At 41.8% G+C, this 19649-nt stretch overlaps 1 protein-coding gene across 14 annotated transcripts in view, besides 2 other annotated features; it reads right to left on the bottom strand.

Annotated features, from left to right (window-relative positions):
* Window positions 1-19649, bottom strand: part of PRICKLE1 (prickle planar cell polarity protein 1) — a 132990-nt gene that overhangs the window by 26999 nt on the left and 86342 nt on the right. For 2 of the 14 annotated variants that reach the window (XM_047428334.1, XM_047428329.1), the window contains exons 1-2: window positions 519-565; window positions 115-230 (exon numbers count right to left, since the gene is read on the bottom strand). The exons of 5 other annotated variants lie outside the window; for them this stretch is intronic. The gene's annotated coding sequence lies outside the window, so the exon portion shown is untranslated. Of the gene's footprint in view, window positions 1-2; window positions 256-518; window positions 566-19649 lie in introns of those variants that run through there. 7 more of the 14 variants (XM_047428333.1, XM_047428328.1, XM_047428330.1 and 4 more) reach the window with 4 other exon arrangements.
* Window positions 184-1092: an enhancer, noted in NCBI's record as "OCT4-NANOG-H3K27ac hESC enhancer chr12:42877741-42878649 (GRCh37/hg19 assembly coordinates)". NCBI's record gives its function as "activates a minimal SCP1, AML or CMV promoter by ChIP-STARR-seq in naive and primed H9 embryonic stem cells {active_cell/tissue: H9 hESC(naive and primed)}" and the evidence as "EXISTENCE:reporter gene assay evidence [ECO:0000049][PMID:30033119]".
* Window positions 1882-2621: an enhancer, noted in NCBI's record as "OCT4-NANOG hESC enhancer chr12:42879439-42880178 (GRCh37/hg19 assembly coordinates)". NCBI's record gives its function as "activates a minimal SCP1, AML or CMV promoter by ChIP-STARR-seq in primed H9 embryonic stem cells {active_cell/tissue: H9 hESC(primed)}" and the evidence as "EXISTENCE:reporter gene assay evidence [ECO:0000049][PMID:30033119]".

Consider the following 19649-nt stretch of genomic DNA (forward strand, 5'->3'; position numbering starts at 1 on the left):
ACCCGCTGCAGCCCCTCAGCAGCCGTGAGGCATCCCACAAAAGGTCCTCCAGCTCCGCAGAGACCCTCGGTCCCTGCCGGCGTGACGGACTCTGCTCCCCCGGGTTGGAGTCACCTCGTCCAGGCCACTGCATCCCCCAAGCCCCAGCTCCGCGTCCTTCCAGGATCCTCCTCTGCGGGGAGAAAAACTCGTCTCCGCTCAGCGCCGGGAGCCCGCCTGGGGCCGGCGATCTTCAAAAGTAATCAGAGCCCGCAGTAAAAAAAAAAAAAAAAAAAAAAAAAAAAAAAAAAAAAGTAACCATTTCGTTTCCTGCCGATCCCGCCCTTCGATCCCAGCCGGACCCAGCTCCCCGCTCCCGCCCGCGGGCGGCGCCTGCCCAGCCTGCTCCCGCCGCCGCCCGCTTTCCAGGAACTGTCACTGCTGACCGTGCCCCTGGCCGATCTCCACGAGGTCCCGCGCGCACAATTCCTCGAAAAGTTACCCACCCCCTTGGCCAGCCTAGCGGCTCGAGCACCTACCGCCGCCCGCCCGCTCCATTCTCCCGAGCCCAGTGAGTGAAGCCGCTAAGATGCAAATACCCTAGGACGCTTATGTAAACTTCCCCCTCCCGCAGGTGCACGCGCGGGCCACGAAACGCTGGGAGAATATGAAAGGCCACCTCTTAAAGAAATCATCTCCACTCTGCCCATAACAATGATGTCAGCAAATGGCACATTTAAGCAAGTTCTCACTTAGAAGGGCTCATTAGCATATGAATTCTCTTAGGACTTTCCCTGCATTTCGGAGTGATTCCTACTGCTTAGCGCAGGAGATTTATTTTTATCAGTAAATAACAGCAAAGAAAAGGAGCCAGGTCACGCGATGTACTAACTCAAGTACACTACTGAGAGTTTTTACAAATAGGTTAAGTGAATATCATTATTCAAACACAAGGAAGTGTCCCATACTGAAGCTAATCTTGTTTCTGAGCTATTTGTAGGTACACTGAGAGAAAGTGGAGTTTGGCTTCAGTTGTCTACAGAAAGGGTCAAGAGAAGCAAAACATATCCTCAAAGCAAGCCCAGAAAAAAAATGATAGATTAGTACTCATCAGTAGAGGTCTAATCTCTTCTGAACTACAAATTTTAGTTTCCACTATAGCCTCCTTATCACAAGGTGATAGAAATACCAAGAGAATGAAGGGGAAAATGCAATATTTAAGAGCTTCATCAATTTGTAAAATATCAGTAAATAAAAGCAATTTAAAGTGGTCACCAGTTCCTTTGGTATCTTTTTTTTTTTAAGCTAAAAAATAATCCTGTACCATCAGGATTCCTTGGGATTGATTTGCAACCTATGTGGTTCTACAGTATACACGTGAACAATAGCTCATTGTAACTGTGATTTAAAAATACATAAACAAGTTGCCATAAATAGATCAGTCAAGTAAATCACTCTGTGGCCAAATTCTGTTATCTCAGCTACAAAGTAAGGCAGCTGAGAAGTTTTTTTTTTTTTTTTTTTTTTTTTTTTTTGTTACTCTCTTAAAGTGGCAGAAACAGAAAAGTTGTGGCTCTGCTGGTAGACTAGTTTGGAAACACTGATTCGGACAACACAATTTGTAATTCAAATAGACTCTTTATTGGCCAAATGGATTCCGGTTTTGAAGACGATTCCCAAAACGTTCTGATATAGAACTCTTCTGGCCTTAGGCCTAGTTTAGGGATTTGTGGGAAGACTTCAAAGGTTACCATTTTCCTCTGTGGATCTGTAAAATTAACCATGAATACCTAGGTCAGATTTCCTTTTTCCTACTTCACTCTGTTTGGGCTTCCTCAGGGAAGATTTCAGCTACCTACCTATAGGAGAAATGCGCAATCAATTATTGATTTAAATCAAACTCTGAAATATCATATGATTATGATAAAGGGAGTATCAGCAGGTGAATACATTAAGCCAGGCAGACCCTTTTTGGAATAGCTTTTAAAGGACAGCTACATTAGGCAACAAAATACTTCCAACTACAAACTATAGCAGCACTTATCACTATTAAATGTCAGCCATTGTAAATGTGCTTCCTCTAACGCAGTTACTTGTAAATACGTTTTGTTATATTTTCAACAGGTACTGTCATGGTTTATTACCCATTGTAAGCGTTTTTAGTGATGAAGCAGTGTGGAGACAGTTGCAAGCTTCCTACAAAGGTTCAATCTCAATGAAACAGACTTTAGTCTGGTCTGAAAGGGGTTGTTATTGTCAAGGGTGAACTTATGCAGAATGGAGAGCAAGGCCCCCAACCAGCATCCTTTTGTTTCAGCCAGGTGGAATATTCATGCTTGCAGATCACACTTTAGGGGCCAGTTGAGAAAGGAAGCCCAAAAATTCACAGGGCTTGGTTCCCTCGCTCCATCCTGGTCTTTGCTCTAAGGTCATCTCTACAGAGAAGGCTTCAACTCCCTAACTAAAATATCACCCTCCCTCCATTTGCAATATTTGTCTGCAAAGCACTTAGCATTGCCAGGTATTTACATGTCTATTTGTTTATCGTTCGTTGTCTTTCTCCTTTCCTAGAAGCTGGGGACTTTGGGGACTCACTACTGTATTCTCAGCACCTAGAATGATGCCTGGCACATAGCAGACAAATTTAATAAACATGAGTTAAGTGAATGAATGATTCTCAGACATTATTCTTCTCAGGCCCTCATAAGTATACTATACCTGTACAAGTCTGTTTCTAATCTAAAGTCAAGCTGAACTACAATGTCCTAATGGAGGAGAGGATAATAGAAAATCAGAAATATGCCAAAGGCAGAGAAATAAAGAGGCAGCATTTTGTTTGTCAAATGTCAGCCAGCTGCGTTGGGTCTGGTAGAAAGAGATAAAGGACACAGTACAAAGCCAACTTTGGCGCTAATCCCTGGTTCTTCCATGTTGTGTATATAGTGACCCTGAGGTCTTTTCTGCTCCTTGCCTTCATTTTTTCCCTTCTAAAAAGACCTCCTTTTTAGTTTTAAGGGTAAGAGTTAGTTGCTCTTGGTATCAGACATTTGAAAGGATTTATAACTACTGTAAGTTCCAGCAATCTAGGAAGAATGTATTTAAATGATTAGATGTCTTTCAGGTTTCTTAATAGAAATGAGAGATCAAAGGCTCTGATAATCACAAATGACATCTAACCTAAATTTGAGGGGCAGTTGGCAGATGTAGTATTAAATAGGGTGGCAGTTCTAGTTTTCAATGCGAGCATATTCCAGAACAGCAGTTTGGTTGTTCTGACTATGTAGATAGGTATCTAAAAGAATCACAAAATCAATCATACAAATGTAGAGTTCACAAAACCCTTGGGATCCTACATCTTACCCAGATGAAGAAACTAATATCCAAAGGAATCACTGTAATGATATTTTGTTTCTTTCCAAATTTGTTACTGCTGAAAGTTTATGCCAAATGTGTTACTTTCTTGTCAATTTTAAACATTTCTGTTGTATCCCCGATTGGTCATTATACCCTGGTGGGTCATTGAACATTTGCAAATTCTAGTTACCATTACCTGGGTCTGTGGCATCCCCAGGGAAGGGCCCCAAGGCAGATACCAAGCTCTTCTTAGGGCTAACAGGCATTATAAAGTTTTATAATAGGTTGCAGTTTCCCAAGGTCTCCAATTACTCTTTCCCCTTTGATTATATTTAAAGCAATGTGATTAGAGAGCACTGGTTCTTTAACGTTTTCTACACCCAATCCCTCTTTAGATTTACTACTCCAATAATCCTAGGCACCCATCCCCTCCCTGACCCTCCTTCCTTTGTGAGGGAGGTAAACTCTCCCTTCACAGTACCCTGATGCACTGGGTTTGAAGTTAGGAGACTTAAATGTCTATTATCTGTCAATTACTATGTGACAATGGGAGGAATCACTTCTCTAAGGTGTTGTGTTTTTCATCTCTAAAAATGCTGGAGTTTGGATTAGGTCAATGTTTAGAACTTTTGAGGAGAGAACACAATCCACTTTCCAACTAAAACAAAAAATCTCGGCCAAGCGTAGTGGCCCACACCTATAATCCCGGCACTTTGGGAGGCCAAGGCGGGTGGATCACTTGAGGTCAGGAGTTCAAGACCAGCCTGGCCAGCATGATGAAACCCCATCTCTACTAAAAATACAAAAATTAGCTGGGCATGGTGGCGGGCGCCTGTAGTCCCAGCTACTTGGGAGGCTGAGGCAAGAGAATTGCTTGAACCCAGGAGGCAGATGTTGTAGTGAGATCATGCCACTACACTCCAGCCTAGGTGACAGAGTGATACCCTGTCTCCAAAACATAAATAAATAAAATGAAATAAACATCTCGATATAGAAACAGAAGTGTCACTGCTTTGTTGAAGTTCTGGACTGGCTTCCTCCTGACACTCTCCCACAACTCTCCTCACCCCTGTTGTTCCAAGGCAGCCCCCAGGCACCTCCCTCTCTAACTAGATGCTCCCAGAAGCTCCACCAGTTCTAGTATTTCCTGGGTCTCTAAAGACTCAATAGCTGATTATGACACTAATACCAGATAGGTGTTTACAGCTGTGCTGTCTGGAGTCCACAGCCCAAGTTGTGTGGGAGAATATAGGACCAGGTCCGTTCATTGACCTTGTTCAGGGTTGTTATCTACTACTGAAGACACACTGCCATCTTTGCCCACCCTAACCCTTACTCCCAACTATTCTGAAATACTCCTTCCCCCAACCCAGGAAATGTTTGTTACTTTTCATGAACAGATAATTAAACTAGCATTCAGCTTAATTGAATAAAAAACTTTAGGTTCTGACCTTAGGCTCTGCAACCCTCTCAACACCTGTCCATCTGTGGTTTGATACACTCTTAAATTTCACTACTGAAAAGCTACCAAAATGTTAAGAAACTAAGAAAATATATTCCAATAAATATTGAGAGAGCTGTACCATGGCAACATATCCAACATTTATTAAATTGCAAACCCCAGTATACAGTATAATCATATTGTTATAAGTAATATTTGGTAAGCTGACATATACATTGCAAAATTATTTAGATACTATAAATACCAAACCAGTAGTATGGTTTCCAGGGGAGGGCAGATTATAGGAAATTATCATTTAAAAATTATATTGATAAAATAAGTGAATTTTTATATTTTCACATTATATGTAAACCTTTTCTCTATCAATCTATCTTTTTTTTTTTTTTTTTTAAGACAGAGTTTCGCTCTTGTTGCCCAGGCTGCAGTGCAATGGCACAATCTCGGCACACCACAACCTCCGCCTCCCAGGTTCAAGCGATTCTCCTGCCTCAGCCTCCTGAGTAGCTGGGATTACAGGCATGCGCAACCACGCCTGGCTAATTTTGTATTTTTAGTAGAGATGGGGTTTCTCCATGTTGTTCAGACTGGTCTCGAACTCCTGACCTCAGGTGATCTGCCCACCTCGGCCTCCCAAAGTGTTGGGATTACAGGCATGAGCCACCACGCCTGGCTGTATCTATCTATCTATTTGAGATAGGGTCTGGAGCTGTCACCAGACCCTATAAATATTTATTTATTTGAGACAGGGTCTCAATATACTAAAATATACTACAATATTAATATATGGAAGAAAAGTTTGAAAGCAGAAATTAACATTCCAAATTTAAGGCCGGGCGCAGTGGCTCATGCCTGTAATCCCAGCACTTTGGAAGGCCGAGGTGGGCAGATCACTTGAGGTGAGGAGTTCGAAACCAGCCTGGCCAACATGGTGAAACCCCGTCTCTACTAAAATATACAAAAATTAGCCGGGCATGGTGGCAGACGACTTAATCCCAGCTACTTGGGAGGCAGAGGCAGGAGAATGGATTGAACCCAGGAAGCAGAGGCTGCAGTGAGCCAGATTGAGCCATTGCACTTAAACCTGGGGGATAAGAGCGAGACTTCTCTAAAAAAAAAAAAAAAAAAAAAAAAAAAAATTCCAAATTTAAGTATTAGTTGGTATGAGAAGATACCTGAATGCATACTTCCTCTCCATGCTTTCTTCCTCCCAGTCACAAGCTTCAAGAGTGGACTCTCTGCTGCATTTACTTATAATACTGTGAGAAGGAGGGTGTCACCAGTCCCACATTTCCATAGAGCCAGACATAGTGGGACAGGGGCTGTCTGATCCCTCATGCATCCATCCATGGATTCACTGATAGATTCTTTGGCTGAGATGTAGGGTATTACTTGTTGAAGGGCACCACTGTTCGACCTAGACCTTTCCCTTGACTTAGAGACTTCGCATTCTAAATCCATATTCTGTATCTTGATTTATTCCAAAAAGAAGACAGAGAAAAATACACAAAAAAGTGAGGAAAATAAATGACTGGTCTAATTTTCAGAACTACAGAACAAACCATGATACATGGTGATTATAGGAATATTTGAGGTATGGTTAAATTTTAATATAGGAATAAAAGGAAATATTGATACGTCAATTCGGTAAGAAGTCAAGATTCAGGAACCGTGAAGGTGGGGTGACATTTGAGCTGCATTTTTAAGGACTAAAAGGATTTGATCAGAGTGATGAATGGAATGGGTTTGGGACAGGGAAGGGGGCCTAGTCCAGGCTGAGCCGGTCAAAGTTTGAGGGCCAAAAGAGCTGGAACACAGGAGGGAGAGGCTGGAGACTGCCCAAAGGCAGCCAGGCCCAGGCTGTGAATAGCTGCATAAGCCATCAGAAAGATGCCAAGTTATTCTAGGGGTAGTGGGGAGCCACAGAAGCTTAAGCAGAGAAGAGTGACATGGTCGTATTTATGCCCTAATTAGAGGGAGAGTGGAGAAAACCCTGCAGAGAAACCAGATGGCAAGAGTCTCAAAGCTGCCACAGTAGTCAAGGGGAGAGAAGATAGTCGGTGTGTCTGAGGACGTGATTTCTCAGGGTGGATAAACTGGACTTGTGGCTGCCCGGGGTGTACAGTCTGGGTAGGGGCAGTGGAAGGGGTGGCAGGAGGGACCCAGACATTCCTAAATGAGTCAGTATATCCATGGTTTACTTGAAAGACAACCAACAGCTTAGCCCTGATGTAAGCTCTCACTTGGAATTGCCATTTTTTTTCACTGCCCATGGGAGACACAGTAACTGAAGGACTTATATTTCTAAGCTCAAACTTATTTTTTTATTTTTATTTTTTTGAGACATAGTCTTAACTCTGTCACTCAGGCTGGAGTGCAATGGTGCGATCTTGGCTCACTACAACCTCCACCTCCGGGTTCAGGCAATTTTCTTGTCTCAGCCTCCTAAGTAACTTAGCTGGGATTACAGGTATGCGCCACCGTGCCTGGCTACTTTTTCTATCTTTAGGAAAGACAAGGTTTCACCATGTTGGCCAGGCTGGTCTCGAACTCCTGACCTCAGGGGATCTGCCCGCCTCAGCCTCCCAAAGTGCTGGGATTACAGTTGTGAGCCACTGCGCCAGGCTTCTAAGCTCAAACTTTATCTTCCTGTTGATATTCACCTTTAAAATAGAGTATTTAAAAATATTACACTATTTACATGTAATGTTAAAAAGCTCAGTGGCCGGGCGCGGTAGCTCACATCTGTAATCCTAGCACTTTGGGAGGCCGAGGTGGGCGGATCACCTGAGGTCAGGAGTTCAAGACCAGCCTGGCCAACATGGTGAAACCCCATTTCTACTAAAAATACAAAAACTAGCCAGGCATGGTGGTGGGTGCCTGTAATCCCAGCTTCTCGGGAGGCTGAGCCAGGAGAATCGCTTGAACCTGGGAGGTGGAGGTTGCAGTGAGCCGAGATCACATCATTGCACTCTAGCCTGGGTGACAAGAGAGAAACTCTGCCTCAAGAAAGTAAAAAATTAAAACATTAAAAGAGCTCAGGGGCCTATCATTATAAAAGAAGTAGGCACATGATTTTTAGGTTGGAATGTAATCCATGTGGAAGAACTACCCAACTAACTCCTACTGCAGAGATCAAAATGTCATTGGAAAGCTAGTATGTTAAATGAGGGTGTGCAATCTAGTAGTTAGGGTTTTATACAAAACTTTGAAATAATAGACACTGCTCCATCTTTTTTTTTTTTTTTTTTTGAGCCGGAGTTTCACTCTTATTACCCAGGCTGGAGTAAAATGGCATGATCTTGGCTCACTGCAACCTCCACTTCCCCGGGTTCAAGTGATTCTCCTGCCTCAGCCTCTCGAGCAGCTGGGACTACATGTGCCCGCCGCCACGCCCGGCTAATTTTTTTGTATTTTTAGTAGAGACGGGTTTTCACTATATTGGTCAGGCTGGTCTCAAACTCCTGACCTAATGACCTGCCTGTCTCGGCCTCCCAAAGTGCTGGGATTACAGGCGTGACCCACCGCGCCTGGCCTGCTCCATCTTAAATAAAAAAAAAAAAATTTATTCAGAGACAGGGTCTTGCTCTGTCACCTAGGCTGGAGTGCAGTGGTGCAATCATAGCTCACTGCAGCCTCTACCGCCCAGGCTCAAGTGATCCTCCCATCTCAGCCTCTCAAGTAGCTGTGATTACAGGCGTGAGGCACTACACCCAGCTAAATTTTAAAATTATAGAATATTTGCTGCTTTGTTTCATGAACTATGTGCTCAAAACTATTTTGCTCACCAGGTATTTTCTTTTTATATTTAAACTCTCCACCAACTAGGATGGTTGGTTCTCCACAAGGGAAAATCTGGGCATGCCAACTTTTAACACTGTTACCATGTGCTATAACTAACCAAGGTGTTCTTAGAGAGGTGTCAGTAAAGAATTATTTCGAGCAGCCAGAAGCCTCCTGGAAGAAGAAAACAGCCAGCAAAGCTTTCCATAACATTTCTTTATCTTATCTGAGATTCCAAGACCCTTTCTGCAACTGTAGGAATTTAAAGGAGGTGATTTTGTAGTGAAGACTGGTTTACAAGCTTTAATTAGACTGCACCAGGGCCAAGATTTGGAATTCAAATTGTTCTGCTGATCTTGAATCACACGCAGCTCTAGTAAGTAACTGTCTTTTGATCCAAGTTACTTTTAATATTTATTTTCTCCTTTATGTTTGGAGAGCTTTAATCTCTTGAACATTGAGTCTGCGCTGGATTATAGAGGGACTAGGGAAGGGATCTTGTCTGTTTTGTTTAATGATATATCCAAAGTGCTGAGATACTCTGGCCTGGTACATTAGATACAGCAGATACTTTACCTGGCATCTAGGGGATTCTCAATAGATATTTATGGAGTGGTGAATGACTAACTTGTTCATATTTTATCCTCCACAGAACCTGACTCAGAATCTTGCGCATACTAAGTCTTAATTATCAGTCCATTTATTTATTTTTTTTTAAATTTTTATTTGGATTTTTAAAAGTGAGTCAACTCATTAGAGTTTCAATGTTCCAATTCAAATATTTAAAGAAATCTCAATAGTTAGGAAGAATGAATGAGACCTATTATTTAATAGCACAACAGGGTAACTATAGTCAATAATAATTGTACATTTAAAAATAACTAAAAGAGTATAACTGGATTGTAACACAAAGGATAAATGCTTGAGGTGACGGACACTCCATTCTCCATGATATGATTACTATGCACTGCAAACCTGTATCAAAATATCTCATGTACCCCATAAATATATACACCGTCTATGTACCCATAAAAATTAAAAATTCAAAAAATTTATTGTTTAGGTCATTTGCTCTTTTTGGCTTATAAGATCTGATAGGGTAATGGTTAACCAGAAAAAAAAGATCTGACACAAATTCAAACGAATTGACTAACTTGAAATCTCTTTAGAAAGCCTGAATTTCTAAATCATATGATCCATCTACCTCCAAACAAATATTGTCCTTCGTCTTCTATTCCCAGTTTGTTTATGAGACCACTAATACTCTGAGTAAACTAGAAACCCAGTCATCACAGATGCCTCCTTTACTCAGGATACCCTCCTTCTTGCCTATCATCATTCAGTTACGTATTAGATCTTTCTATCTTTTAAATTTTTCTCCACTAGGCACTGTGTCACGTGCCTACAGTCCCAGCTACCCAGGAGGCTGAGGTGGGAGGATCATCTGAGCCCAGGAGTTGGAGGCTACTGGGAGCTCTGATTGCACCACTGTACCCCAGCCTGGGCAACAGAGTAAGACCGTGTCTAAAAAAAAAAAAAAGAAAAGAAAAGAAAAAAAGAGAACGAAAGAAAGAAAAAAGAAAAATTAACTATTGACTCTGTACAGGCATACTTCAGAGATATTGTGAGTTCACTTCCAGGCCACTGCAATAAAGCAAATATTGTAATTTCCCAGTGCATAGAAAAGTTATGTTTACACTACACTATAGTCTACTGAGTGTGCAACAGCACAATGTCTAAAAAAACAATGTACATACCTTAATTAAAAATATCTTACTGCTAAAAAATGCTAATGATCATCTGAGCCTTCAGTAAGCCATCATCTTTTTGCTGGTGGAGGGAGCCACCAATGTTGGTGGCTGTTGCGTGATCAGGATGGTAGTTGGTAAAGGTTGGGATGATTGTGACAATTTCTTATAAGGAAATGATGAAGTTTGCTGCATCAATTGACTCTTGCTTTCACAAAAGATTTCTCTGTAGCATGTGATGCTGTTTGGTAGCATTTTACCCGCAGTAGAATTTCTTTCAAAATTGGAGTCAATCCTCCCAAACTCTGTTGCTGCTTTATCAACTAACTTTATGTAATATTCTAAATCCTCTGTGGTCATTTCAACAATGTTCACAGCATCTTCACCAGGAGTAGATTCCATCAAGAAACCACTTTCTTTGCTCATTTCTAAGAAGCAATTCCTCAGGCCAGGTGTGGTGACTCACGCCTGTAATCTCAGCACTTTGGGAGGCTGAGACGGGTGGATCACTTGAAGTCAGGAGTTTGAGACTAGCCTGGCTAACACGGTGAAACCCTGTCTCTACTAAAAATACAAAAATTAGCCAGGCGTGGTGGCACCCACTTGTAGTCCCAGCTACTCAGGAGGCTGGGGCAGGAGAATCTCTTGAACCTGGGAGGCATATGTTGCAGTGAGCCGAGATCATGCCACTGCACTCCAGCCTGGGTGACAGAGTGAGACTCTGTCTCTAAAAAAAAAAAAAAAAAGCAATTCCTCGTCTGATAAAATTCGATTATGAGATTGCAGCAATTCAGTCACATCTTCAGGTTTACTTTTTTTTTTTTTTTTTAATTTTTAAGACAGGATTTTGCTCTCACCATGGCTAGAGTGCAGTAGCGCCACCATAACTCACGGCAACCTTGAACTCCTGGGCTCAAGCAATCCTCCTGCATCAGCCTCCCAAGTAGCTAGGACTATAGGCATGTGCTCCATGCCTGGCTAATTAAAAAAAATTTTTTAAGAGATGGGGCCTTGGCGTGGTTGCTCATGCCTGTAATCCCAGCACTTTGGAAAGTTAGGGTGGGTGGATTACTTGAGTTCAAGAGTTCGAGAGCAGCCTGGGCAACACAGTGAAATCCCATCTCTACAAAAACAAAACAAAACAAAACAAAACAAAAATTAGCCAGGAATGGTAGTGTGCACCTATAGTCCCAGCTACTCGGGAGGCTGAGGCAGGAGGATCACTTGAGCCTGGGAGACAGAGGTCACTGAGATTGTGCCACCACATACTCTAGCCTAAGTGACAAAGCCAGACCTTGTCTCAAAAAAAAAAAAAAAAAAAAAGAGAGAGAGAGAGAGAGGTGTTGCGTCACCTCACTATGTTGCCCAGGCTGGTCTCAAACTCCTGGCCTGAGCCTCTCACCTCAGCCTCCCAAGTAGCTGAAATTACAGGTGTAAGCTACCTTACCTGGCTTCCACTTCTAATTCCAGTTCTCTTGATATTTCTGCAGTTACATCCTCCATTGAAGTTTCTTTTTTTTTTTTCTTTTTTAGATGGAGTCTCGCTCTGTCGCCAGGCTGGGTGCAGTGGCACAATCTCAGCTCACTGCAACCTCCGCCTCCCGGGTTCAAGTGATTATCCTGCCTCAGCCTCCTGAGTAGCTGGGACTACAGGCACGTGCCACCACGCCCTGCTAATTTTTTTTTTGTATTTTAGTAGAGACGGGGTTTCACCGTGTTGCTCAGGCTGGTCGCAAACTCCTGAGCTCAGGCAATCTGCCCACCTCGGCCTCCGAAAGTGCCGGAATTACAGGCGTGAGCCACTGCGCCCAGCCCCACTGAAGTCTTGAACTGCTCAAAGTCTTCCATGAGGGTTGAAATAAACTTCTTCAAAATGTTGATATTTTAACATCCTCCTGCGAATCATGAATGTTCTTAATGGCATCTGGAGTGGTAAGTCCTTTTGCAGAAAGTTTTCAGTTTACTTTGCCCAGATCCACCAGAGGAATCATTATCTATGGCAGTTATAGCCTTAAGAAATGTATTTTTAAAGTAAGACTTGAAAGATGAAACCATCCATGATTCATGAGCTGCAGAATGGATGTTGTGTTTGCAAGCATGAAAGCAACACTAATCTTGTGCATCTCCATCAGAGCTCCTGGGTGACCAGGTACCTTGTCAATGAGCAGTAATATTTTTAAAGAAATCTTTTTTTCTGAATAGTAGTTCTCAACATTCAGCTTAAAATAGTAAACCATGCTATAAACAGATATGTTGTCATCCAGAAGCCATATGGATGTTGTTCCATTTAAGACCACAGACAGAGTAGATTTAGCATAATTCTTAAGGGCCCTAGAATTTTTTGAATGGTCAGTGAGCAATGGCTTTAACTTAAAGTCACCAGCTGCATCAGCTCCTAACTAGAGAGTCAGCCTGTCTTTCAAAACTTGGAAGTGAGGCATCAACTTCTCCTCTCAAGCTATGAAAATCCTAGATGGCATCGTCTTCCAGTATAGGAACTCAACTGCATTGAAAATCTGTTGTTTAGTGTAGCCACCTTCATCAGTGATCTTAGCTGGATCTTCCAGATAACTTGCTGCAGCTTCTCCATCACCACTCGCTACTTCACCTTGCACTTTCATGTTAGAGAGATGGCTTCTTTCCTGAAACCTCATGAAGCAACCTCTGCTAGCTTCCAACTTTTCTTCTGTAGCTTCCTCACCTCTCTCAGCCTTTGTAGAATGGAAGAGAGTTAGGGCTTTGCTCTGGATTAGGCTTTGGCTTAGGGGAATGTTGTGGCTGGTTTGATCTTCTATTCAGACCATTAAAACTTTCTATCAGCAATAAGTCTGTTTCACTTTCTTATAATTCATGTTCACTGGATTAGCACTTTTAATTACCTTCAAGAACTATTCCTTTGCAGTCACAACTTGGCTAGCTGGTTTGGCACAAGAGGACTAGCTTTTGGCCTCTCTCAGCTTTTAACATGTCTTACTCACTAAGCTTAATCATTTCTAGCTTTTGATTGAAAGTGAGAGATGTGTGCCTCTTCCTTTCACTTGAACACACAGGCCACTGTAGGGATATTAACTGGCCCAATTGCAATATTGCTATGTCTCAGAGGATAGGGAAAGCCAAGGAGGAGGAGAAAGATGAGGGAAAGGCCATCTGGGAGAGTAGTCAGAACACACAAAACATTTATCGATGGCCGGGCGTGGTGGCTCACGCCTGTAATTCCAGCACTTTGGGAGGCCAGGGCGGGCGGATCACGAGGTCAGGAGATCAAGATCATCCTGGCTAACACGGTGAAACCCTGTCTCTACTAAAAATACAAAAACAAAATTAGCAGGGCGTGGTGGTGGGTGCCTGTAGTCCCAGCTACTCGGGAGGCTGAGGTGGGCGAATGGCGTGAACCCGGGAGGCAGAGCTTGCGGTGAGCCAAGATCGTGCCACTGCACTCCAGCCTGGGTGACAGCGAGACTCCATCTCAAAAAAAAAAAAAAAAAAAATTCGATTAAATTTGCCATCTTATATGGGCACAGTTCATGGTGCCCCAAAACAATTAAAATAGTAACATCAAAGGTCACTGATCACAGATCACTATCACAGATATAAAAATAATGAAGCAGTTTGAAATATTGCTAGAATTATCAAAATGTGACACAGAGACACGAAGTGAGCACATGGTGTCAGAATAAATGGTGCTGGTAGACTTGCTTGACACAGGATTGCCACAACGCAGTATCTGTGAAGCATGATACAGCAGTGTGCAGTAAAACGAAGCATGCTGGTATCTTTCCTCCCTACTCCTACGGCTGCTGCCTGCCCATGTCCCCACCCTGGACACGACCGCAGCCTAACTCACTCCCTCAGGTCTGCCCATCCCTATGTTCATTCTTCACTGGACACCACAAATCTAATGATGCCATTCTCTTTTAAAAAATTATTATTTATTTATTTATTTCTAATAGAGATGGGTCTCACTATGTTGTTCAGGCTCATCTTGAACTCTTAACTCTTAGCCTCAAGCGATCTCTAGCATCAGCCTCCCAAAGTGTTGGGATTATAGTGTGAGCCTCCATGCCTAGTCTCATTTTCTTTTTTTCTTTTCTCTCTCTCTTTTTTTTTTTTTGGAGACAGGGTCTTGCTCTGTCACCCAGGCTAGAATGCGGTGGTGCGATCATGGCTCACTGCAGCCTCGACCTCCTGAGCTCAAGTGATTCTCCCACCCCGGCCCTGCTGAGTAGCTGGGACTATAGGTGTGTGTCACCACCCTGGTTAATTTTTTGTATTTTTAGTGGAGATGGGGTTTTGCCATGTTGTCTAGCCTGGTATCGAACTCCTGGCCTCAAGCCATCCTCCCACCTTGGCCTCCCAAAGTGTTGGGATTACAGGTGTGAGCCACTGTGCTTGGTCTCATTTTCTTTTAAAATCTCTTCTGCGGGCCAGGCATGGTGGCTCATGCCTGTAATTCCAGCACTTTCAGAGGCTGAGGCAGGAGGATTGTTTGAGCCCAGGAGATCGAGACCAACCTGGACAATAGGATGAAACCTTGTCTCTATTTAAATTAAAAAACAAAATCCCTTCTTCAGTTTTTCCAAAACCTTCGTGAGATAAAATTAAGACTCTTTACAAAGAAGCCCGTCCATTTCCAGTCCCTACTGATCCTCTAGCTCTGTCTCCATCATTAGTCAGACCTCACTTTCAGGCTGTAGAACTGGTAGTTTCCACCCATATGTTTCATTCTGCTGTTTCTTCTACTTGGAGCCATCTAATCACTTGCTTTTGTTAACCTAACTCTTACTTCAAGACTTTGTTCAGGATGGATCCAGGAAATGTTCCCTGAAGCCCCATCAGACCAAGGGCTTCCACACTGAGCTCTCACTGCTCCAGAACTCTCCATCAGTCCCAAAACTAACAGCATGAGAACTCAAGTATGTATTAGAATTCTGAGTCATTTTTCACATACAGTGTGATGTCACTACTTTATCTTTGGTGATAGATTGAGTAAGAACACAATAGTGCCAAATGAACCTCTCTCATTATTATACCTGCTATAACTTATGGAGTACTCATATGCTAGGCATTGTACTAAATCATGTACATTTAAAAAAAAATCCTTATAACAACATAAGGTGGATCTTATTTTCCCATTTTACAAAGGAGAAAAGTAAGATAAATTGTATAAAGTTATCAGGTAATTTGGGAAGGAGCCTATATTCAAACCTTGGTCTGACACCAAAGCTGATGCTCTAAATGACTATTTGTTTTTAAAGTAGAGCTTCCTATAAATAGCAAAATAATATGCTTTGCTTTTCCTGGCTTTTCTCTTGGCAGCATCACAAGAATGTAAGTAGAATAAATCTAGAATTTTTTTTTTTTTTTTAGAGTCTTGCTCTGTTGCCCAGGCTGGAGTGCAGTGGTACGATCTCAGCTGACTGTAGCCTCCACCTCCCAGGTTCAAGCAATTCTCCTACCTCAGCCTCCTGAGTAGCTGGGACTATAAGCACATGCCACCACACCCGGCTCATTTTTGTATTTTTAGTAGAGACGAGGTTTCACCATGTTGGCCAGGCTGGTCTTGAACTCCTGACCTCAGGTGATCCATCCACCACGGCCTCCCAAAGTGCTGGGATTACAGGTATGAGCCACCGTGTCTGGCCTAGAAATTTATTTATTTATTTATTTGAGACAGAGTCTTGCTCTGTTGCCCACGCTGGAGTGCAGTGGACTGATCTTGGCTCACTGCAACCTCTGCCTCCCGGGTTCAAGCGATTCTCCTGCCTCAGTCTCCCAATTAGCTGGAATTACAAGGGCCTGCCACCATGCCTGGCTAATTTTTGTAGTTTTTTATTCTTATTTTTATTTTTTTTAGTAGAGATGAGTTTTCACCATGTTGGCCAGGCTGGTCTCGGACTCCTGACCTCAAGTGATCCACCTGCCTTGGCCTCCCAAAGGGCTGGGATTACAGGCATGAGCCACCGTGCCCATCCACGGCCTAGAAATTTTTAATACCATATTATTTCAGCCAGAAATGAAGCAATGATTGTCAGTCTCATTTAGGGGAGCTCAATGACAATATTTTGGCTTTGCTGGCCTTTCGGACCAAAGAGTTATACAGCACAAAGGCCAAAACATAGGGGACCCTCCAACACACACACCAACCCTGGAGATAATCAGACAAATGACACCCTGAGCTTTCTGAAGCAGTTCATTGTACCATCTTAATTTCTATAGATACAAAATCATTTTATTGTCCAAATACAACAAAACTAGCCTGTATTTGAAGATCTTTATATAATAGTTGCTCTGTTGCCTATTAGGCATTACCAGTATCAGTACGTACTAAGCACTTAGTCAAAGACAGCACTCTTGGATGAGTTCAGCAACCCAACCATCACCTCTTCCACTTAAATGCAGATTATGCTGAACAAAAGAGAGACCATGAGCATGGTTCAGTTGTTAGTTTGTGTGTAACGCATTCTACTGAACGTATCTCACATGATATCCTGAAGGCAATGAAGTAATGCAGCCATTAACAAACTTTTCAGACAAAATTGATTATAGCTCAACTCATAGCACTATAATACATTTTTCATTAATTTTCTTTTTTTTTTTTTACTAAAATCTTTCAGTTTCAACAAATGAAAAAAAAGCAATAGAATTAATATTCTTTCTAGCAGCATATCTGGGCAATTCTAACAATATGTCCCCAAACAAAAATTTATTGCAGATGAGCTCAAATAATAGGAGACTATTAGAACTCGTATCACATGGGCTTGTAAAGACAATCTACTTTCTGCTGAAGACCAAACATTTTTACTTAACACAAACTCTAGTTCCAATTAAAGACAGCTGAGTACATTGTTACTTTTATAATAGACTAGATCACATTTCCATGGTCAACCATTTCTGAACTTATCAGCTTTTCTTTCAAGAAATTCTAACAAGATTCCAGCAATCTCTGAAATGCTTCTACCTATTGGAAAAGTGGGTTTGGTGGGAGCGATTTAATGAAGACTAAAAGTATGATTTAGGAAATCATTTTATGACATCACATTTTAAGGATCTGAACAGTCTAAAGGTTTTTTGAAAGAATCCAATGATATGGCTAGACAATCTCTGTAAATGGAGCCACCGCTCAAAACATAAAAGAAGAGAGCAAGGCCGGGTGCGGTGGCTCATGCTTGTAATCACAGCACTTTGGGAGGATGAGGCAGGCAGATCATGAGGTCAAGAGATTGAGACCATCCTGGCCAACATGGTGAAACCCCATGTTTTGTATTTTGTAAAAATACAAAAATTAGCTGGGCATGGAGGCGCGTGCCTGTAGTCCCAGCTACTCAGGAGGCTGAGGTAGGAGAATCGCTTGAACCCGGGAAGGGGAGGTTGTAGTGAGCCAAGATCGTGCCACTGCACTCCAGCCTGGTAACAGAGTAAGACTCCATCTCAAAAAAAAAAAAAAAAAAAAAAGAAAAGAAAAGAGGAGAGCAAATTCCTATACAAGCAACATTTATGATCATCTTCTTGCCTTTCCAGTAACCTTTAAAATGACCTTCCCTAACATGCAACTGATTCCTACGAATATCTTTCATGAAGTGGCTTTTTTTTCCCCCATACAGTCAGGCAAATTAAAATCTACTACAGAAAAATGCTTGTCATTCAGTTTCTCATGCCTAATTAAGAGATTTCTTAGGGAGAATAAATATGATGATCACACACATAAATATTTGGGATCCTTGAAACATCCAGGCATTATGATGCTGATGCTATATAAATAACAAATTTAATTAATAGTGGAATTATAAGGGGAAAAATAATTCAAGACAACTGCTAGTGCATTATCTGTACTGCAAATTTTCTGTGCTTGTGAGGAAAACACTCACTGTTGCCATCAACACTGCTAGGAGCAATTCGAAGAAGGTGGGCTGGGACTTTTGCCATGCTACTTCTAGAAGCCCGTCAATAGGTGTGACAGTTAATTTACAGAATGGCCTGGAATGAATGGACATTTATAGTTTTCTGTTTGTGTTTTGTCTCAGAAGGGTAAATACAAGGCCTACTTAACCGGAGTACTTTATAGGTATATATGTATATACACCTATATATATATACACACACACACCTATACATATATACACACACACCTATATATATACACACACCTATACATATACCTCTATATATATACACACCTATATATATATACCTACATATATATATATAGATATATATTTGTTTTTCTTTTCTTTTCTTTTCTTTTTTTTTGAGACAGGGTCTCATTCTGTTGTCCAAGTTGGAGTGCAGTGGCACGATCAAAGCTCACTGCAGCCTCAAACTCCTGGGCTCAAGCAATCTTCCTGCCTCAGCCTCCCAAGTGGCTGGGACCATGAGCACACATCACCATGCCTGGCTAATTTTTGTATTTTTTTTGTAGAGACAGGTGTCTCACTGTCTTGCCCAGGCTGATCTTGAACTTGTAGGCTCAAGCAATCTTCCTGCCTTGGCCTCTCAAAGTGTTGGGGTTACAAGCATGAACCACCATGTCTGGCTTGTGTGGTTTTTTAAAAAAAATATTTATTCTCTTCTCCTTTCTACTTTCAACTACCAAGGATGCACATTTTACACTGGAATGTATTTTCAGAGCAGACGCGGGAAAGGGCCGAGTCTTAGATGTCTTTTTTTCTCTATTTCTTTCCTTCCCTGTAAGGTTTTTCTTTATGGAGCTTTCAGTTTTAGGTTTCCATAACCTCCTAATGCAAAACAGGCTAAGAAGAGCAACGAATGTAACAAACCACATGTTGCTTTGCTTCTCTCTTTTTGAGGAGGAAAAATCCAGCTTCCAAGAAGAGTATGCAAACTTGCAGTTAAGCTGAAATTAAAGATGTTTTAAAGGTTTCTTAACCCTGGTCTTGGCCATCTTGTAATATTTTAAAATGTAAACGGAAACATATGATTACGATAAACTCTGATTCTACTTAAGAACAAACAGAACATGTTAAGTCCATGGGTAATAGTTTACTAAATCAATTTGGACTTGTGGGGCAATCTGAATATTTTCACCTAGGCCAAAGATAAGAGACGCAATACAAAAATTAACTTTTAAGCATTTCACTGTGAAATCAACACTTGTGCATTCTGAGCCTTGGATTAACAATCTATATCTGGGCTCCTGCAGACTTGCATAAATTATTTAAAAATTTTATGGCTCAATTCAGCTGTCAAAGAGAAGAGCCTTTTGACAACATTTCACACCTGTTACTTATCTAGTAAAGTCCTGGGCTTAGTTACTCCCACCTGGGATGAGCATGTCCAGACTTCCCGCACACTCATTGTACACAAGGGGA

This window comes from Homo sapiens, chromosome 12 (genome assembly GCF_000001405.40).
Source record: "Homo sapiens chromosome 12, GRCh38.p14 Primary Assembly".
Taxonomy (NCBI): Eukaryota; Metazoa; Chordata; class Mammalia; order Primates; family Hominidae; genus Homo; species Homo sapiens.